Source organism: Homo sapiens, chromosome 11 (assembly GCF_000001405.40).
Source record: "Homo sapiens chromosome 11, GRCh38.p14 Primary Assembly".
NCBI lineage: Eukaryota > Metazoa > Chordata > Mammalia > Primates > Hominidae > Homo > Homo sapiens.
The window spans coordinates 72726008-72747278 of NC_000011.10; the positions used below are offsets into that span (position 1 = coordinate 72726008).

The 21271-nt window shown below is 52.4% G+C and overlaps 1 protein-coding gene across 1 annotated transcript in view, besides 7 other annotated features; it reads right to left on the minus strand.

The window, feature by feature from the left end:
* Positions 1-21271, minus strand: part of ARAP1 (ArfGAP with RhoGAP domain, ankyrin repeat and PH domain 1) — a 67340-nt gene that overhangs the window by 40939 nt on the left and 5130 nt on the right. The window contains exons 2-3 of the mRNA NM_001040118.3: positions 6508-6590; positions 613-1165 (exon numbers count right to left, since the gene is read on the minus strand). Coding sequence (NP_001035207.1) covers positions 613-1121 — 509 coding nt within the window. The 5' untranslated portion in view covers positions 1122-1165; positions 6508-6590. The remainder of the gene's footprint in view (positions 1-612; positions 1166-6507; positions 6591-21271) is intronic.
* Positions 3742-3811: an enhancer, noted in NCBI's record as "active region_5196". NCBI's record gives its function as "activates an Ori minimal core promoter by ATAC-STARR-seq in GM12878 lymphoblastoid cells {active_cell/tissue: GM12878}" and the evidence as "EXISTENCE:reporter gene assay evidence [ECO:0000049][PMID:35858748]".
* Positions 10683-10862: an enhancer, noted in NCBI's record as "active region_5197". NCBI's record gives its function as "activates an Ori minimal core promoter by ATAC-STARR-seq in GM12878 lymphoblastoid cells {active_cell/tissue: GM12878}" and the evidence as "EXISTENCE:reporter gene assay evidence [ECO:0000049][PMID:35858748]".
* Positions 11033-11132: an enhancer, noted in NCBI's record as "active region_5198". NCBI's record gives its function as "activates an Ori minimal core promoter by ATAC-STARR-seq in GM12878 lymphoblastoid cells {active_cell/tissue: GM12878}" and the evidence as "EXISTENCE:reporter gene assay evidence [ECO:0000049][PMID:35858748]".
* Positions 15147-15924: an enhancer, noted in NCBI's record as "H3K27ac-H3K4me1 hESC enhancer chr11:72452199-72452976 (GRCh37/hg19 assembly coordinates)". NCBI's record gives its function as "activates a minimal SCP1, AML or CMV promoter by ChIP-STARR-seq in naive H9 embryonic stem cells {active_cell/tissue: H9 hESC(naive)}" and the evidence as "EXISTENCE:reporter gene assay evidence [ECO:0000049][PMID:30033119]".
* Positions 15451-15500: an enhancer, noted in NCBI's record as "active region_5199". NCBI's record gives its function as "activates an Ori minimal core promoter by ATAC-STARR-seq in GM12878 lymphoblastoid cells {active_cell/tissue: GM12878}" and the evidence as "EXISTENCE:reporter gene assay evidence [ECO:0000049][PMID:35858748]".
* Positions 15571-15650: an enhancer, noted in NCBI's record as "active region_5200". NCBI's record gives its function as "activates an Ori minimal core promoter by ATAC-STARR-seq in GM12878 lymphoblastoid cells {active_cell/tissue: GM12878}" and the evidence as "EXISTENCE:reporter gene assay evidence [ECO:0000049][PMID:35858748]".
* Positions 16702-17478: an enhancer, noted in NCBI's record as "H3K27ac-H3K4me1 hESC enhancer chr11:72453754-72454530 (GRCh37/hg19 assembly coordinates)". NCBI's record gives its function as "activates a minimal SCP1, AML or CMV promoter by ChIP-STARR-seq in naive H9 embryonic stem cells {active_cell/tissue: H9 hESC(naive)}" and the evidence as "EXISTENCE:reporter gene assay evidence [ECO:0000049][PMID:30033119]".

A 21271-nucleotide genomic window follows, 5' to 3' on the forward strand; every position in this document is an offset into this window, starting at 1 on the left:
AGCCAGAGGAAACTCAAGAAAACACAGGGTACCAGAAGCCCCAGAGGGGAAACAGTTCTGAGGAGGGAGGGCATGCCAGATGAGGCCTGAGAAGTGTCCCAGGATTTGCTGACATTTGGCAGTGGGAGAAGGGGACAGGGTGTGAAAGAGCACACCACCAGGACCTGGGCAGTCCCCTCACCCCCAACCCTACCCCGCAGCTTTCCGTTTCCTACACATGTTGCCTCTTGATGCCGGCATGGACCCCGATACCCTGCAGTATCTCACAGTTGCCAGGTCCCAAGCTGAACTCGACTTCCTCCCAAAGTCACTTCTGTCCTTGGGTCTCTGGATCAGTGATGGCACGACTGTCCACCCAGCCACCCAAGACAGAAACCTGGAGGCCTCACTGGCACACGCCCAGCAGCCCAGGCACTGCGCTGAGTACCTGCACAGCTCTCCCCTCCTCCTGAGTCACCAGACAGCAATCCTGTCCTCCGAGCTTTGCACACGCTGTTCCCCCTGCACTTCCGAAGTGCCTTTCTTACCCCAGCACCAAAGGCCACAAACTCCCCATCTACCCTCTGGGATCCTCTGCCTGTGCGCCTCCCACCCTGGGTGGCATCCACTCACCTCACCAGCAGGCGGGGGGGTCCGGTGCGGGGCGGCACGGGTGGAACGCTCAGCTCTGCCAAATGCCGCTTAGCAGGCAGCGGGGGCAGCACAGGGTCTGGGGCAGCTGTGGATGGGGTGGTGAAGCAGGTGGGCGGAAGGCAGCTCCTCCGGGGCGGGATGGGTGGGGCAGCGGGGAGCCCCTCATCCTCTGTAGTGGTGGGCAGCGGCTCGGGTGGAGTGGCAGGCACAGGTGGTGAGCGGAAGATGTGGCGCTTCATGGGCACAGGCCGTGGGGTGGGGCGGGGTGCAGGGGCCGGTGAGGTATGGGCACGGAGCAGGCCAGCCAGGATGCGGCGGCGGTGACCAGGGAGTAGCATGCCCATGTCCATCAGGCGGGTGTCGCTGAGGCCTTGGCACTCAGTGGCCCACACCAGGCCATGCTGCTCAAAGAGCCCCGTGTACTGCTCCAGGTGCAATGCCCGCAGCCACTCGGCCACCGATAGCGCAGCATCCCCAGCCTCTGCCATGGTTCCTGCCAGCGGAGGCCTGACTGGCAGGGCTTTGTCCAGAGCTAGAATAGACAGACAGGCACAGGTCAGAGGCAGGGCTGCCGAGGATTGGTCCCCTCACCAGCAGCCTGCATGGCTCTCTCAAGCCATAGGTTCAAGTTCTGTCCTGGAGCTTCCTCCCCTGTGCTCCATGTGCTAAGCAAGGCCAGGTACTGCCAGGTCTCTGAACACACAGGCTCTTCTCTCCGCCTGAACCCCCTCACCCCTTCCCTTGTGCTATCCCAGCATCCAGCTCATGTTTTCTTCTCTAGGAAACCCTCCATGATCTCTGGGGTTGGTACCACCCCACACCCCAACACACAGCCTTGGCCACTGCCGTGAGAATGGCCAGTGGCATGATTGGTGCTGTGTCTTATACCTCCTCCCCACTGCCCTCTGCAAGACCCACGGCAGGGCTAATTCCCTCTGAGGCACCAGTTCCCAGTGAGGGCCAGGCCAAGGGCTTAGCGAGCATTGAAGGATACCACTGCTGGTCCCTCCTGCAAGCCCAGTCTGGGAGCCGAGACTAGCCTCCCCCTACCTCCATGCCCCTGGAGGAAGTGAAATGCTGTGGGACGTGAGTAAACCCAGCATCACATGGCCTCTGGGGGCCTGGCCCTGGAATTGGGTAAACCCTCCCATCACTAAGGCCATTCATCCATTTGTTCTTTCAAAATAGCCTGGCACTAGGCAATGGGGACTCAGGCTCTACCCCTGCACCCTGTAATCAAGAGCTCCTGGCCTGGTGGGAGTCAAGAGGTGATATGAAGAGGTGACCAAAAGAGGTGATTAGCAGATCAAAGGGAAAAGTCATCTGATTATCTCCACAGACACTAAAGAGGCATATGATAAAACCCAATATCCAGCTTACTTACACAAACAAAAATCTTACTAAAACAGAAATAAATTGATACTTTCTTAAATGAGAAAAGAATATCCATTTTACTGTTGTTATTATTATTCCTCACATTGCTCTGAAAGCTCTGGACAACAAAAATAAACAAGAGGTCTTAAAATCAGAAAGGAAGAGATAAACTATCCATTTGTTGCCAATAATATGAGTGTTGAGTTTGAAAGCCCAAGAAGGTCAACTGAGAAACTATAACAACCAGTAAAGACTTTAGTAAGACAGTTGGGTTCAAAATTAATATAACAGACTGGCCGGGCACAACTATAATCCTAGCACTTTAGGAGGCCGAGGCGGGTGGATTGCCTGAGCTCAAGAGTTTCAGACCAGCCTGGGCAATACAGTGAAACCCCATCTTTACTAGAATACAAAAAATTAGCCAGGCATGGTGGCATGCGCCTGTAGTCCCAGCTACTCAGGAGGCTGAGGCAGGAGAATTGCTTGAACCCAGGAGGCAGAGGTTGCCATGAGCCGAGATCATGCCACTGCACCCCAGCCTGGGCAACAGAGTGAGGCTCCGTCTCAAAACAAAAACAAAAACAAAAACAAAAGAAACAAACGAAAATTAATATAACAGAAATCAACATTTATAAGCAACAAACAGGTAGAAACCAGGATGAAAGACCCCATTTACAAAAGCATCACAAAATAGAAAACACCAATAAACTTCCTAAGAGATAAACAACAGCGATAGGAAGAAAAATTGGGAGTGTTACTGAGGGACAAAAAGAAGACCTGGACAAATGGCAGAGCACAGTAAGTTCTGGATAGAAGACAACATAAAGAGATTAATGATGTCTAAGTTACTTTATAAATGTACACAATCCAATTAAATATGTACAGAATTTTTTTTGAAGCTGATTTGAAATTTCATGTGGAAAAATAAGCAGGAAGAGTGAGGAAAATTCTGGAAGCAGGGGTGGAGGGCGGGGAGGGTAAAGAGTAGGAGTCAACCTCACCACATGTTAAAACATATTATAAAGCCACAATGATTAAAACAGTATATGGTAACAGTGCATGAACAGACAGATCAATTAAACAGAACAGAAAGTTCAAAAGTAGACCCAAATACATATACAAATTTAGGATACACTAAAAGTAGCCTCTCAAACTTGTGGGGAAACAAGGGATTCTTAAGTTGTTGGGACAGCTGTGGAGTGCTCTCAAAAAAAACTAATGTGGATCCCTATCTCACACTTTACAACAAGAAACATTACAGCTGTATCAAAGACTTCAGTATTTTAAAAAACCATGGCTGGGCAAGGTGGCTCACACCTATAATCCCAGCACTTAGGGATGCTGAGGCAGGCAGATCCCCTGAGGTCAGGAGTTTGAGACCAGCTTGGCCAACACGGCAAACCCTTGTCTCTACTAAAAATACAAAAAATTAGCCGGGCATGGTGGCAAGCACCTGTAATCTCAGCTACTCAGGAGGCTAAGGCAGAATTGCTTGAACCCAGGAGGTGGAGATTACAGTGAGCCGAGATCACTGCACTCCAGCCTGGGCAACAGAGAGAGACTCCACTTCAGAAAAAAAAATAAAAAATAAAAAATGAAAGGATTTACGAAATCATCCTAGGGCTGGGTATGGTGGCTCACGCCTGTAATCCCAACACTTTGGGAGGCTAAAGCAAGAGGACTGCTTGAGGCCAGGAGTTTAAGACCAGCCTGGGCAACACAGCAAGACTCTGTCTCTACTAAAAAAAAAACCTAAAAATTAGGCAGCTGCACACTTGTAGTCTCAGCTACTTGTGAGGATGAGGTGGGAGAATTGCTTGAGCCTAGGAGTTCAAGGCTGCAGTGAGCTATGATCACACCACTGCACACCACTGCACTCCACCCTGGGCAACAGAGTGAGACTGTCTCTAAAAAAAAAAAAAAAAAATCATTTCAGAGAGGCAAAAGCCTTCTGGAAATGAAACAAGTCCAGAAGGCACACAGAAAAGACTGAAATATTCAACTCTACAAAAATCAAGCACTCTTGCATGGTAAAAAGCACCATAAGCAAAGCCAAGAGCTAAACAACAAACTAGGGGATATCTGCCACTCATATTCCACACAAAGGGCTCATTTTCCTAAAAGTTGAAAAGCATGCAGAAATAAGAAACGGATCAATAATCTAACAGAAAAATGGGCAAAGAGTATGAATGAAAAAATTTACAAAAAGGAAAATATAAATGGCTCTTAAATATCTGAAAAGGAACTTAACCTCCCCCACACTAGGAAATATGAATGTAAAATATTTTGAAATACTGCTTTCTACCTATCAGATTGTCAAAGAGCAATAAAGTTGGAAAATACAGGCATTGGTGATGTGGTAGGGCATCCCTTCCCTGGCTGTGGAATGCCTCTAGGCATGAAAGCCCTAAGAGATGCAGATGTCTGGGCTGGGCGCGGTGGCTCACACCTGTAATCCCAACACTTGAGGTCAGGAATTCGAGACCAGTCTGGTCAACATGGTAAAATCCCGTCTCTACTAAAAATACAAAAAGTTAGCCAGGCACAGTGGCAGACACCTGTAATCCCAGCTACTCAGGAGTCTGAGGTGCAGGAGAATCGCTTGAACCCAGGATGTGGAGGTTGCAGTGAGCCGAGATCACACCATTGCATTCCAGCCTGGGGGACACTTTGTCCTCCCGCCTCCCCCAAAAACAGAGATGCAGATGGCTGACCCAGCCACCCATAGGCACTTAGCCTGCATTTTTACTGGCACCTGCCAGAATTGACATATATAGAAGGTTACTAGCTACAGTGCCTGTGTTTAATAGCAAAAGAATGGAAATAACCAAAATGGCCATCAATGGGAGAATAGTTAACTAAATTATGTTGTAGTTGTGCAATAGAATACTGAGCGGCCATAAGAATGAGGAAACTCCTCACATATTGACATGGGATGATCTATAAGATACACTGTTAAAGGAGTAAAGAAAAGTGCAGAACAGTTTGTGTAACATTCTCTCTCTGTGAAAAAAACAAGGGGGAGCATGGAGTAGTGTGCAGCTACTGGTAAATGAACAAAGTATCTCTGAAAAGACACATGAGGGCAAGGTGACAACAGTTATCAGCTTCCTCCTAGGACGAAAACTAAGGCCTGAAGGGACAGGAGGGAACAGTGGAAGATGCAGAGTTCACAGGGCCTGAAGTTCATGGGACCTGAAGCTTACACAATTTAAGTGCCCTCTGATATGGTTTGGATGTTTGTCCCCTCCAAATTTCATGTTGAAATGTGACCCCCAATGTTGGAGGTGGACCTAGTGGGAGGTGTCTGGGGTCACGGGGACAGATCCCTCATGAATAGCTTGGTGCCCTCCCCATGGTAACAAGTGAGTTATCACTCTATTTGTTCATGTAAGAGCTAGCTGGTTAAAAGAGCCCGGCTTCTCTCTTGCTTCCTCCCTCACCATGTGACATGCCTGCTCCCGCTTTGCCTTCTGCCCTGACTAAAAGCTTCCTGAGGCCTCACCAGAAGCTGAGCAGATGCTGGTGCCATGCTTATACAGCCTGCAGAGCCCTGAGCCAAATACACCTCTTTTCTTTATAAATTACTCAGGGTATTCCTTGATTGCAATACAAAACAGACTAACACATTCTCCTTAAGAGTATCTCACTTTTGCAAAATTCACAAAAACACATGACCACATGCACACACTGTTCAGGACCCTCTTTAGATCCTGGAAGGAGCCCTGCACCTCAAACTCCAGCTTCCCTGGAAATCCACCTCTGAGGAGAGGGAGACTTTTCACTTCAACATATAAAGATGTCAGTTCCTCCAGGGTTAAGCTAAAACTTTAACACCATCCCAACTAAAATTACCAGCTGGAATTTGTTGAGACCAGCAGATTCTAAAGTTCATATAAAATGATATTAGAGATGTGTTAAGTGGAAAAGCAAGATGCAGAACAGTGTTATGTAAACATCTCGGTTAAAGAAAAAGAAAAAAATATACATATGTTATATATATATGCAAATATAAACACAGAAAACTGGACGGATATATATAAAACTGAGTTTGGGGAGGGGAATTGACAGCTGGGAAGACAGGAGACACTATACCCTTCTGTATCTTTTAAATTTTGTATCATTTTCCAAAAAGTAAATAAAAATTAAAAGGGAATGTGATAACCATGAATAGAGCCTGAGAATGAGAAAGGGAACAAAACTTGCCAGGCAGGGAGGGGAATCCAGTGAGGAGATACATAAACACAGACCTGCAATTCAGCCTGCTGGCCCCTGCCTTGTCCCTCTGTCTCGTACCCCCACCCTGTTCCAAGGTTCCAAGGCCTGCTGGGAGGCTCGTAGCAAGCTCTCTGGGCCTCACCCTCTGCCTCTCAAGCTCAGTTCTCAAAATGGAAAATGGGCTATCAGGTGTCAGCCTCCATCAAGCCTTCCCCGACCTCAATGTTAAGGCCTAGCGTGCCACAGCCAGCCCTGTTCCCACCGCTCCACCTCCTGACTCACCAGCTGGGCTGCCAAGGACGCCCGGGTCCTCCCAGAGACAGCAGCTATTCTGAAGGGCTCCTCATCTCGGCCTGAGGCGGGAGCTGCAAGGACAGGGATGGAGGAGAAAGCCCGTGAGGCAAGGCCACTATGAGATGCCAGAGAAGGAGAGGGGAAGAGGGAGAGGGACAGGGAAAAGGAAAGAAGAAATGGGGGCCAGGCACAGTAGCTCACGCCTGTAATCCCAGCACTTTGGGAGGCAGGTGGATTCGAGTCCAGGAGTTCAAAACCAGCCTGGGCAACATAAGAAGACCCCATCTGTACAACAAAAATACAAAAATTATCCAGGTGTGGTAGTGTGTGCCTGTAGTCCCAGGAACTCAGGAGGCTGAGGTGGGAGAATCACTTGAGCCCAGGAGGTGGAGGCTGCAGTGAGCTGTGATTGAGCCACTACACTCCAGCCTGGGAAACAGAGCCAGACCCTGTCTCAAAAAAAAGAAAAGAAAAAAGAAGAGATGGGGAAGAGGTGGAAGAAGAGGAAGAGAAGGAAGAGGGAAGAGGAAAGGATTCGGGGAACCTCATGCTCATGGAAACTGGCAACAGAAGTCAGACCAGAGGAAGGCCTTCCTGGAGGGAGAAGGCAGACAGACAGGCCTGTCCAGATGTGGGGGCTGCACAGGTGGTAAAGAGGAGTCAGGACTTCCCCACTCTCTGGCCCTGCAAGACCAGTGCTGGGATGTGTGTAGGGGCAGACTGTGGAAGGGACAGCCCCAGGAAGGGTGAGGAAGGGACAATGCAGCCCTGCGACTAAAGAGGTCTCCCTGACACAGAGCCTGTCAGGAGAGGTGGGGGACCTTAGAGGACCCAGGGACACAGGACCCTCTCCACTAAGCCTGGGGACCATGAAGTGGCCTGAGGGCACAAGTAGGGTAACTGAGTCAGGGGCATGAGACCCCAGGGCCCTGCCCCTAAATATGTAGGGGAGGTTGAGGAAAACAGACCAAAAGGGGATGCTTCCAGGCAGGAGGAGAAAGAATAGGATATTCCTGACAGGCCACCACCCTTGCTATGCAGACAGCCGGAGCTCTGTGGGGCTAGGGACCAGTGGAGTGGCATGGACAGGTCTCCCTCCCCAGGACCTGGAACAGTCAGGTCTGCCAACACTAGGGTTAACTTCAAAACTGCTGTGCTCTGCATAATGGCTTCAGTAGGTATTCATGAACATTTTACATCTTACAAACACATAAACAGGTATTTATCTTAAGCAAACTCCATGATTATCACTGCCTAGGATAGGGCTAAAACAGGTATACATTTTTTAAATATTTTATTTTAGTTTATTTATTTTGAGACAGAGTCTAACTCCGTTGCCCCAGCTGGAGTGCAGTAGCGCAATCTTGGCTCACTGCAGCCTCCACCTCCCAAGTTCAAGCACGATTCTCTTGTCTCAGCCTCCCGAGTAGCTGGGACTACAGGTGCGTATCACCATGCCCAGCTAATTTTTGTATTTTTAGTAGAGACGTGGTTTTGCCATGTTGGCCAGGCTGGTCTCGAACTCCTGACCTCAAGTGATCCACCCACCTCAGCCCCCCCAGTTGCTAGAAGTACAGGTGTGAGCCACCACACCTTGCCTTATTTTATTTTTGAGACAGGGTCTTGCTCTGTTGCCCAGGCTGGAGTGTAGTAGTGCAATCATAGCTTACTGCAACTTCCAACTCCCAGGCTCAAGCAATCTTCCTGCCTCAGCCTCCTGAGTAGCTGGAACTACAAGTGCATGCCACTGTGCCCAGCTAATTTTGTTATTTTTTGTAAAGACAGGGTCTCGTTATGTTGCCCAGGCTGGTCTCAAACTCTTGGCCTCAAGCAATCCTCCCACTTTGACCTCCCAAAGTGCTTAAGATTATAGGCATAAGCCACTGCACCCAGCCCAAAAGTCAATACTTAAAAAACAACCTTTAAGTAGCTAGCACTTCAGATGAAAGCATTGGCAAAAATGGCAGTGCTACTCAAACGACAATTTGAAACAAGAAAAAGAGACCACATAAACAGTGCTTACTGCATGCCAGGTATCCAAGTACTTTATATTAACTCATTAAAGCCTCACAGCAGCCCCAGGAGATACATATGATTGCTATCCCTGTTTTAAGGTGAAGAAACTGAGATAAAGGGAGGTTAAACAACTTTCCAAAGCCACACACCTAAGAAGGAGGCAGTATGAATATAGTCTAGCCCTGTGCTGTCCAATAGCAGCCAGCAGTAGCCACACGTGGCTGTTGGACATTTGAAATGTGGTCCCTGGAATATGATGTGCTAGATTTTGAACACAGTGGATTTTGAAGACTGAGCACAAAAAAAAAAAAAAAGAATGCAAAATATCTCAATAATTTTCCCTATTGTTTACATGATGAAATATATTATTAACATTAATTTCACTTGGACTGTTTAAATTGCATTGTGGCTTACACTCTATTCATACTGGAGACTGTAGCTCTCAACTTTTTTTTTTAGACAGGGTCTCGCTCTGTCACCCAGGCTGGAGTGCAGTGGCACAATCTCTGCTCACCGCAACCTCTGCCTCTTGGGCCCAAGCAATTATCCCACGTCAGCCTCCCAAGTACCTGGGACTACAGGCTTGCACCACCACGCCCGGCTAATTTTTCCATTTTTTTGTAGAGATGGGGTTTTGCCATGTTGCCCAGGCTGGTCTTGAGCTCCTGGGCTCAAGTGATCTACCTGCCTCTGCCTCCCAAAGTGCTGGGATTACAGGCGTGAGCCACCAGCCTTTGGCCATCCACTTTTAACCACTCTTCACGGCCTCTCAAAACACAAACTGAGGGCCGGGCGCAGTGGCTCATGACTGTAACCCCAGCACTTTGGGAGGCCAAGGCGGGTAGATCACTTGAGGTCAGGAGTTCGAGACCAGCCCGACTGTCTCTACTAAAAATACAAAAAATTAGCTGGGCATGGTGGTGGGTGCCTGTAATCCCAGCTACTCGGGAGGCTGAGGCAGGAGAATTGCTTGAACCTGAAACGCAGAGGTTGCAGTGAGCTGAGATCGTGCCATTGCACTCCAGCCTGGGCGACAGAGTGAGACTCCAGCTCAAAAACAAAAGCAAAAACTGAGCACCTGCTATATACAGGCCAGGCACTGTACTAAGCGTTTAACACAGATTGATAGATGACGGTCCCAGCAACCCCACTGGAATGACCAGGTCTGGGAAACAGGAAACTACTTATCTCCCTGAGAAAAGCCTGGCTCCCTACTGGGCCTCTCTCAAGTTCCTATTCCTGCACTAAGGGCATCTGGCTAACATCAAAGACACGGTGACTCGGCACTGACACCTCTTTGGAACAGCCATGTTCAAGGCACTGGAAGCATGAACCAGACCTCAGACCTGGACTGGCCCTCCAGGAACCTCAGGCTGGAAGGGATCAGATACCATCAACCAGTGAAAACAGCCCAGGGGGCCCTCAACCAGGCTGAGGTAAGGGAAGGCTTCCCGGAGAAAGCAGCAAATTGAAAAAAGAAGTTCAGAGCAGTGCCCTGCTAAGCCACACTGCAGCCTGAGGCAAAGACAGAATCATCAGTACTGTTCCTCTCTTAATTTAAAATGTTAATGTTTTATATTTTGCTCATCATGGATTTTTGGCATTAATTTTTATTTTTTAAATGGCATTAAATATTATATACCTTGAATACTGACCTTTTTAAAATAAATAGTTATTGCTTTTACATTTTAGTTACCTTTTTTTTTTTTTTTTTGAGACAGGGAAGGTCTCGCTTTGTTGCCCAGGCTGGAGTGCAGTGGCATGATCATGGCTCACTGCAGCCTCAACCTCCTGGGCTCAAGTGATCCTCCCACCTCCCCCTCCCCAGTAGCGGGGACCACAGGATCTCATGACCAAACCCAGCTAATTACTGAGCTTTTTGGTACCCCCTCAAATTCTGCAACAGAGGCAAGTGCCTCACTTGCTCTACCCTAATCCAAGCCCTAGTTTGGAGGTTTAAGCCCCTCAGCTGCTATGACACATCACTGAGTCCTCATCCTCAGGAAGGCAGGGACCTGGCAGAAGGGAGTGTCATCCTGTTGCGACAGCACAGCCAAGAGCTGAGGGGTTTCCCTCCTCTCCACCCTAATGGCCCAATCAGACTTCAGCACCCCCACACCCCCATCCTGCCTCTCCTTCTCTCTCATGTCCCTCCAGCGTCTCTCCACTGTGCCAACTACAGTCCCACCCCCACTCAAAGCCTTTCCATGGTTCCCAGTGCCTTCGAGCACTCCTTGGTCTGTCATTCAACTTCATCCAGCTCTGACGTTTACAGACGAAGAAACAAACACCCACAGGGAGGAAGTGACTTGCTCAAGTTGTCAGTGACATACCCCAACCCCCAGCCAGGCTGGGCTGGCCCTGTCCATGACTTCCTCCATGTCACTTCTCACAGTAGGCACTGGCCTGGCAAACAGGGAGCCCCCAAAGTTGTCTGCTGACAATGAGTGAGTAAACCACATCCTCCCATCTTCAGGTGGCTCCAGGCCAGCTCCTCCAAAAAGTCTGCCCTGACTGCCCCCTCAAGCTCCTAGTCCTCTGAGGCTGAGCCCCATATCTCGGCACTGCTTCTGCTCTCTCTTTGGTTGCTTGTTTTGTGGGGGTCCACCTCCACCCAATCCCCCATGTATCCTGGAGTATCCTGAGAGTCCATACCCCTTCTTATCTCCTCTGCTGTCCACAGTGGTGCCCAGGACCTGGCTGGGCTCACAGGTGCACTCAGTCCCAGTCCAGAGGTAAGGGTCGCCTGGAATCTCTAATCCTTGTCAGCCAGTCCTTCTTCACGTCTGGCTTGAGTACTTCTTGCTGGAACCAAAACTTTTGCCCTTCTGTCCTCTACCTACCATTTCAACCCCAAGGTCAGAGTTCAAATCTCATCACCCCTTCTCTGTCCCAGCCCAGCAACTCCATGGTAATATCTCTACCCACTACTGACTAGTGACCTGTTTCACCGGCCCAGCAAGAAGATGACCCAGAGCCTTAGCCAAAGACAGGCACCCTCCAGCTTCCTTCTTTCCCTAAATGCACACCATTTGGCAACCATGTGCCCAGCCCCTGCTAGATTTTCTCCTTCATCTCATTTGTTCTTTTTTTTTTTTTTGAAACAGGGTCACTCTGTCACCCAGGCTGGAGTGCAGTGGTGTGATCTCAGCTCACTGCAACCTCAGCCTCCTGGGCTCAAGTGATCCTCCTACCTCAGCCTCTCCAGAGTAGCTGGGACTACAGGGGCATGCACCATGCCTGGCTAATATTTGTACTTTTTGTAGAGATGGGGTTTTGCCACGTTGCCCAGGCTGGTCTCGAACTCCTGAGTTCATGCGAGCTTCCCCTCTTGGCCTCCCAAAGTGCTGGGAGTACAGGCGTGAGCCACCGCACCCAGTCCCTCATTTGTTCTTATAACAACCCTAAGGCCTGTGATTCTTCTCTATGTCAATGTCATGGAAGCTGTGTGAGGTAGAAACTCACCAGGTCACCTGCTGGAGCTCACGGGGCCTTCAGAGGACGTGACTGCTTCTGTCTGGTGAAGTAAGGGAGGCTTCTAGAAGGAACCCCTGACTTGGGCCTTGAAGGATAAGTAGGAGGTGGCCAGGTGGAGGCCATTCCAGGCAAAGGGGACTGGGTGTGCAAAGCCCAGGGACAGAAAAGGACCTGGTGAATTTGGTGACAGGAGATGTCAGTGGGGTGGGAACAGAAGATGTTTAGAGAGAAAGGCTCAATGGCTGGCCCTCCGTCACCTGCATAGTCTGCTGACCGTGTGGGTGTGGCTCTCTCTTGAGGCCTCCCTGAGCCTGTTTTGCATTCTGATTTGCATGAGTCAGCCCTGGATCAGGGCAGCCTTAAAGGTCCTAACCCTTTCCACACCCAGCTCTGGAGTCCTCTTGGCCAGGCCGCCTCCCCTGATTGCATCCTCAGCTCCCCTCCGCACAGGCCTCTGCCCTGGGTTCAAGGAAAGACCTAGCCCTATGGGGAGCAAGGAGGGGAGGAAGGCAGGCTAGGGGTCCTAACTGAGGCCTCAGCTTGTCCACCACCACCTCCCTTATACAGCCTCATCCCCTACCCTGGGCCCAGCTGTCCCAGCACAGGCAGGCAGGGCAGCGACCCCAGCATCCAGACCTCAGGAAACTCCTCGGAGCTCCCCAACAGGAACCAAGAACATACACAGCCAGCTCTGGCCAGGCCTGGGTCTACAAACCACACCCCACTGGTACCACAAATGCACACCTCACACTACCTCAAGGGCCACACATCTCCCAGGGCCACACACACCTACCACCCCACCCAATGGCCACACCTCAGATCTGCCCTTTCCCACCACACACAGCTCCTACCAGCAATTCAACTGTGTGCAACAACCCCACAGCCCAATACCCCACCCTTGGCCCCCTCCCCGGCCCAGTCACCAGGTGATACCTCTGCATAGGGCCTCTTCGGTCTGCTGCCCTCCTGGGCCTTCTCCAGGCTCCGCTCACTCAGGCAAGAGTGTTAGAGGCACTTCCGCAGATATGAGGAACTAGTGGGGGCTGGGTTCCCAGCCCAGAGGGTGCAGAAGTGGCCCCCACGCCTCTGCAGAAGCCACCTCCCTCCAGCCCTGCCAGGAAAGGCAGCAGGTACAGCCTTCGAGTGGGCAGCTGACCGATCTCTGGGCCAAGCAGCCTATTTTCCATCTCTCGGGGACTGGTGGCCACCACATAACAGTCTCAGGAAGGCACACTGGGGTCTCCTGTCCTACCCCAGGCCGCATCTCTGCCCTATAACTCTCCCTGGCACCAGGAGATTCCTGTCCTGGCCCATGTGTGGTGTGGCCTGTCTTCTGGGGTCTCCGGAGTGCTGGTGGCTGATGGGGAGCAGCCCCTCAGGGCAGTGAGGACTGAGTGGGACCCCAGAGCCGGGGGAATGAAGAGCTGCCTCAGCTTGCTGGTGGGGAGTTGGGGGTCTATCAGCAATGTCCCTCGGCTCCAGGCCTGGGCCCCCTCCCCACCCAGTATGCAAGGCAAGTCTGGTTCCAGTCCTGGCTCCACCATTTCTTGTCTGAAGCCTGGGGCAAGTCACATCACATTCTGAGCCTCAGTTTCCCCTCCACAAAGTAGAGCTGTCACTCCCTGCCTCCTAGAGCCTGGCACCCAGATGACCATGACACGCCACCGCATGTGTACTGGAGGCCAGCGTGCTCTTCTGCTCACTCCTCTGCCGTCAGGCAGTCACTTCCTGTCCCTAGCCCTAAGGTCTTGGCTAGTCCTGACCCTGGGTGCTAGGCTTGTAGCCAGGCTCTGGGCTAGACTCCCTCCACATCCTGAGGTTCTCGGTTACCCCAGACACCAATGACTACCACAGCCTACCTCCAGCCATGTCCCCCTGCAGAGCTCCAGACCAGACCTGACTTCACGGCATTCTGGACCTCCCCTGGAATGCCCTGGCATGGCACACTCCCATCATACAATGAACTCACCAGCTCCCCTTGGGGACTGTGGGGAGCAGGGGGAGAAGAGCTGTCTCCAACCCAGGTGGGGCCTTTAGGCAAATAAGAAAAAGATTCCTCTTCTTCCAGGAGCCCCACACCAAGGGAAGCAGCTGAGCAAGAAGAGGACAGGCTGGGTTTCAGTCCTCCTTCTTCTGGCCCTCACTTCCCTACACCTGCCAGGCACCTTTGAGCAGTGCACAACACGCACACCCACACACAGTGGACCTGGTGGGAGGCAGGACCTTTTAACAACCTTCCTGCAGCAACCCTACCAGCATCACCCTAATAAAATGCTAAACCACAGTTTTATTAATGACTAAGGGACATGAAAGACCAAGGGACAGTAGGCATTGCTGACCCCACTTTCAGGCCTCACGCTAACTCCAACCCCAATCTTGAAAGACTTTCACTTTCTACAACCTTCATGTCTGCACTGTTTCAAGTTTTCACAATTATCACTTTTATAATTAGAAAAAAATGATAAACATGTTTTAAGTCATTACAATTGAGTTTGTTCCAGTTTGCTCCCCAAAACCATCATTATAAGGTAGCTTTATCATTTAAGTATAACATGCATAGATTACTAACAGAACTATTATAAGAGAAACTGCTAATTTCCTAGGCCATCTGGATGGAAAATAAGAGACTGACACTCAAAGCCCCCTCCCTGCCCCCGACTTACCCTCCCAAGGGTCTAAGACAAAGCTAATCAAATAAGGTCTCCCTCCCAGGCACTGGTGGCCAGCAGCACAGAGCGCAGCCCTCAGACTTTCACATGGGAAATGGACTGAGGCTCATTAATAAACTCGAGACGCCAGGGTCCCCGAGGTTTGTCCTCAAGACACCATCAGACCCCACCCTGGCCCTGACTCTCACCTACCACACCTTAAGCCTCACCCAGGGGCCCCTCATGTCCAAGCCCCAACCCAAAAGAGGGTCAGGTAGGGAAGGAGGTGTGGGATGACTCAGGAATGTCTAACATACCTCACTTGCAAATAAATGAAGCTGAAAGTTAAATGGTTTGGTTTTAGGCTTTGTCAAAAAGCCTATCACATACTATGCCCCTCTGGCCCCACCACATACCCCCGACCCCTAATGGGTCTGGGGACCCCTGCCGCTTCCCCCAACTCCTTCCTGTTTACCATGTTTTGGGCACACCCCTGCCCTGCATCCACACTGCCCCCATTCAACCCAGGCCCCTCAGCTTGCCTGGACTTCTGGGCCCTCACCGCTGCCTCCTGCCTCTGCCCCCTGCAACCAGGACATACTCTAGCCCACCGGGCTCATCTAATACATGGCATAGCTCCTGACCCCAACCCTCCACAGCCTCACCCCAGGACCCTCCCCACTCTCCCAGTCCTCACCCTCGGCCTAGCTCAGGCCCTTCCCACTTAGAAAGGTGACTCAACCAGCCCCACACCTACAGAGACCTGGGGCGCTCCCACCACCAGCAAGACAGGGCTCTGGCCTGGCTCCCTGGCCCTCAGGCACAGACACACTCTACAGGGGCTGGGGACTTCCTGTGGCAACTCCTCCCACAGAGGGCAAGGGGCAGCCTGAGGAGCCACAGGATGACTCCAGGAAGATCCTCCTGTGACCACTGCCCCCAGCGGGAGCAGGAGGGGGACTCCGAACACCATAAATGAGGCAGAAACAGGAAGAGACAGGGCTGACCGCAGCAGGGTGGGAGTGCACAGGGCTGACCACAGAATCACAGGCAGCGGGAGTGGACAGACCCAGTGACACCAGCACTCAAGATACAGACCCTCACCACGTGCCCTGGGGGCCGAGGGCCAGCACCCACCCTGCCCCAAGAGGGAAGGGGAGGCCGCCAACTGACTCCTCTGTGAGCTCACTGGAAACCTAAAGCTCCTGCCCACCAAGGAGGAGGGACTTGGTGGGCTCCTCTGTACCCCAGAACTAGGGGTGCAGGGGAACAGGGACCCAGACCTGCCTACTCTCTAGATGGCCCCTGGAATGCAGAAGACAGAAAATAAGGGGGTCCCTTACTGCTGGCACGTGAAAGGGGAAGCTGCCTGTGTTGGCTGGAGAGGGTGACCACATGGGTGGGGCCGGGACTAGGGTCAGAAGGGAAAGAGGGAGACAGGGGGACCAGCCCCACAGGCTTTGGCCTCCAATTTGATGTGTGACCTCAGTCTCCTGACTATAATCAGACAACAGCTAGGGAAGACTCCCTGACTCAGTCTCCCTCTCGATTCTCCAGCAGGCCCACAGGGAGCCCTGGAACTTGCTCACCTGATCCGGCCACCCCTGCTTGCAGCAACAAAAGGTCGTGTTTATGCAGTGCTTACCGTCTACCCAGCACCACACTAAACATATCACATGGATTGCCTCATAAAATCCTTCCAACAACCTAGCAAGCAGGTGGCTTCAGGCCATGTTACAGATTAGGAAACAGCCTCAGAGAGGTTAAGTAACTGGCTCAGTCACTCAGGAGCCAGAATCTGTATCAAGGGTCCTCTCAAGGGGACAGCGTGAAGACAGGTAAGGCCCAGGGAGGAGAAGGGGAGGTTAAGTGATAGAGGGAGAGGGAGGCTGAGTGCAGACTGAGAAGGGCCTTGAAGGCCATGCTAAGACCCCGATCCTTACTGTCCAGACAACAGGAAGTCATGGAGGACAGCAGGGTGCTCTGGTGATGGAGCACACTGTGACAGACAGGCAGCAGGCAGGGATTCCTCCTGCTGTGGGATTTGGGAATTCAACTAACTTCTCTGAGCCTCAGTTTCCTCATCTGTGTAATGGAATTAGGATAGCTCCACCTTGCAGGCTTGTGAGGGAGGGATGAAGCAGATCTCAAATCTGATCAGTTCTCACTCCCCAGTGACTTGCCACCTCCCTCAGAGTAAAAGCCAAAGCTAGCAGCCGGCCTGCCAGGCCTGTGCAACCTGTCCCTGTGTGCCCCCACTCAACTGCTGGGTCCCGAGCTCCTTCTGGCTGGAATGTTCTTGCCCAGGCATCTCCATGACTCCTCATACCCATTCGGGCACCTCCTCAAATGCAAGGCCTTTCTTCCCTGACCACTCTATCCTAAAAAGCACCCCATTAGCCTCTATCTCCTTACTCTGTTTCCTTTTTCAGCATCCCACTTATCACTACCGGACACTGCCTTATATGGATATTTGTTAAAGTCAGACTCTTTAACTGAGAGGCACAGACTTTGTCTTATTCACAGTTGTATCTTCCATGGCTAGGACAACGTCAAGAAAATGCTCAATCGATAATATTTGTGAAATGTATGAATGGAAATCTACAAAGGCCTGGCTTGCAGGCATATTGAGCAGGCACTCAATATGTGGCACCTTCCAGTGTTTTCAGCCTTTGCTGCCCACCCTTCTGAAGTGCCCCCACCCCCAACCCCCACCTCAAATCCCTCCCCAGGGAGCCTCCTGAGCCACAGCAGCTGTGGCTGGACACACACACGGAGGCAAGAAGAGGGTGGCCAGGGGCAGGGTCTGCAGAGGGTTGGACTGGGAGGCCTTTGGTCAGGGCCTGACCCCAGCTCACCCTGCTCAGGAGGCTTGGGACAGGGGCTGCCTGGAGAGATGGGCAGAGTGAGGGAGAGTTGGAGGAGGCAGGTGTCAAGGTTCAGCCTGGAGGTCTAGGAGTTGGAGATTGACTCTGAGGCTCCCCGGCACCCTCCATGGCAAGGCCTGTCCCTTCTTTTGACCTCTGAGGCTGCCCCAGCACTTCCTGCTGGACCGGCCCCTTAAACACTGCTGGGGATGCCCTCACCCACACAGGGGAAGTGTGACTCTCAGTCCCCCTCAACCATTCCCCAGACCAGGGCAGAACCACCCCAGACTTCTAGGAGTCTCTGAGACCAACCCCCAGCCCTCAGGCAGGGGCTACCTCTCCTGCCTGCCTACCCCTTGCCTGACCCCCCATTACCCAGTGGGGCTCAAGGGGCTTCCACCCACTGGCTCCTGCCACCTGCCCCTCCCCTCTGGTCTCATTTCCTCCACTCTCACGCTCCAACACCAGGGCTTCACCACCAAGCCTTTGCTTACCCGGTTCCCTTTGCCTAGAACATCTTTCTCTACCTCACCCTGCAAGCTCAAGTGCCACCTGCTTGAGGAAGCAGTCTCCGACTCCCACAGTCACAGCCCTGATCACACCAGATGTCACCATCTGTGACTGTGTGTGTCACCATCTGTGACTGTGTCTGTCACATACATACTCTCTTACCCCCAACCCTGGCTGGGTGCTTTCTCAGGCAAGACCAGGGATACCTGTGTCCCAAAGGTGGCACACAGTGAATATCTGTTGACTGAACGAACATTTCCCAATTTTACACATGGAGAGCCAGGCAAATGACAACTTGCCACTGCAAATCAGTGGCCAAAGTGTGGCCAGAACCCAGCCTCCAGCCTCCCAATACGAGGTGCCTCCCATTCCACCCAGTCCCACCCAGTTATAGTTCTACTATAGTTCTACTACCCAGCCCTGCCTTCTCGACCAGTACCACACAACCCAACCACCTGCTCCTTAGGCACTTAGGAACCACCAAATCAACCTTCCACATTTCTAGAAATGAAAGTAAGTCCCAGTCCCAGAAGGGGCAAGAACCTAGCCAGGGCCGCACGGGCAAGTCAGGACCATGACTCAGACCTTGGCCCCCGAGCCTGAGCTCAGATATCTCCAGCAGCCTGTTCCTTGGAAGAACTGGGGAGGGGGCCTCAGGCAACATTAGAGATACTGGAGCAACCTCCCTCCCCCGTCCCCCACATATCTCCAAGTGGGCTAAGCCAGTTCTGCACTGAGAAATGTGGGTTTTCAGGCCACAGGCAGTAGAGGCAAATGAGTGTCCTGGTTCATGTCCGTGGAACAGAAACTGGAACAGAACCACTAGACACCCCCTGGATCTTCAGACTCCCTAGGCTTAGCATGTCCATCTTTAGAGCCGAGAAAGAGACAGAAGGAAGAGAGCAGCCCCAGGCAGAGCAGGGGAGGGAAGCCTTTAGCCAAGGCTCTGGTGCCCCTTCACCAAGCACGGGAGCCGCTACCCCAGAGCTTTCCTGTTATCATCTGGAAAAGTGTCAGTCTCCAACTCTGCTCCTGGAGTGGAAAGGGGTGGCCCATTCTCCCTACCAGGCACACTGTGGCCACTGGGAACAAACTTGCATTTAAGCTGCAAACCCACACAGCAGCCCAAGTTTCTTTCTTTTTTTTTTTTTTTTTTTTTTTTGAGACGGAGTCTCGCTCTGTCGCCCAGGCTGGAGTGCAGTGGCTCGATCTCGGCTCACTGCAAGCTCCGCCTCACGGGTTCACGCCATTCTCCTGCCTCAGCCTCCTGAGTAGCTGGGACTACAGGCGCCTGCCACCACGTCCGGCTAATTTTTTTTTTTTTTTTTTTTTTGTATTTTTAGTAGAGACGGGGTTTCACCGTGTTAGCCAGGATGGTCTTGATCTCCTGACCTTGTGATCCGCCCGCGTCGGCCTCCCAAAGTGCTGGGATTACAGGCATGAGCCACCATGCCTGGCCACCCGAGAGACCAAGTTTCAAGTGGGTGAAAGCCTTGCCCAGCTCACACATCAAGGGGTGCAGAACTGGGCCCCTCCTACCCCAACCCATGAGGAATGCTGACCATACCCGCATGGAGTACCCACTGGAGGGATGTGCTGCAGGCTGGGGCTGGGAAGCACGACCCCGCCAGGAGCCTGGCCAGGCAATCTTCCAGGAGACACTCCTGTGTCCCAAAGGGCACCTGTGTCATGTCTCAAAGGTGGAGAGGACCAGGGGCCACACCTGGAATCTTGGCTGTCAGTGCCCTTCTCCTGGACGACTGCCTGGCTGGGCTCCTGGCTGGGTTGTGCTTCTCTGAGGGGCAGAGCTGCTCCTGACCCGCAGCCTCTTGAGTGCAGCTGCTGTGCCCACAGGCCCAGACAGCACGGGAAACAGCTAGGGATGGTAGCTCCTAAGTCCCTCAGTCAAGCCCAGCCTTCTATACCCTAAGGCAGAGCAATACGTCCCCTCAGGCTCTTGATCTCTGTCCACCACCTTCTGCAGAGGCTCCTGAGCCTGGCTCTGACCCTTCAAGGCTTAACCTTGGTCTGCTGAGCCACATCCCATACTGGCCCTGATGGCCAGCAGTGTGACCCTGACCTTGCTCTTTGAATTAGCCAGCCACCAGCCCTCCCCAACCCCGCCCTAGTGTCCACGGGAACAGCCCCACTACAACCCGTGAATGCAGAGGGGGCCTGGCCCATCTCTCCCCACTGCCAAGATAACTGAGTGCCCCTCTGCTACCACCTAGTCTGCAGGGTTCCCAGATTTCTTGAAGGGGAGACAGCCGGGTGTGTGCTGGGGGTGGTAGATGCAGGGAGCACCCGGCACCTGGAGACCAGCTGTGCCTCTGACCCACCAGCCAGCACTGAGAAACTCTCCAGGCCTCAGCCGTCTGCACCAACCAGGCTGAAGCACGGCACATGCCCCAGCCTCAACTTGGGGGTGACCCAGCCCAACTCGAGGCTTTTTAGGCTCTCGGAACCTAGAATTTCGGAAATTCAGAAGCTGGGACTCACAGGCACATAAAACCCTAAAATCCTCGAATCTCACCAGCCTAGAATCTCAGACTCAGAATCTTAAAATTCTAGCTGCTCAGTGTGAAGAGAAGGGAGTGGAGAGGAGTGGAACAGCCCCCTCCCCCCAACCCCCTCCCCCTCTCACCTGCCCAATTTGGTTGGTTTCTGTCCTGACCTGTTCACAACTGGGGGCTGGTAAGCCTGGGGGATCCCCAGAGTCGCTCCTTACTGCCCCTCCCTGAAGCTCCAGGGAAGTTGAGTACAGTAAAGATAAATGCCCAGCCAAAGGTCTCTCACTGAGCTAGAGGCCTGAGGCAGACCCTGGGTTCCTGACTCTGCACCTGACTACAGGCAGACCCCTGCCCTATGCATTATGGGTTGGGGAGGAGAGAGGGGGATGCCCAGGGTGGGGCAGTGCTCGCTGGGCCAGTAGGAAAGCTGGCAGGGGAGACCCTGGCACCTGGAAAGCCGAAATGCAGTGGCAGCTCAGCCTTGCTCCTGGTCTTCTGTCCCGGGGGTTAAGCCACCCCAGCACTGGCCTGGCCAGAAGGAGGCAGGGCCAGCCCAAGCTCCCCCAGGGCCACTGACAGCCAAGATTCCAGGTGTGACCCCTGGTTCTGCCCTGAGAATGGGGATAGAGAAGTGGCCCTCCTGATCTTCTCCCACCCTCTTGCCTTTACCGTTGCCCTCACAACAGTGAGGATAAGGACAGGAGGGAGATTTTAACACATCCCC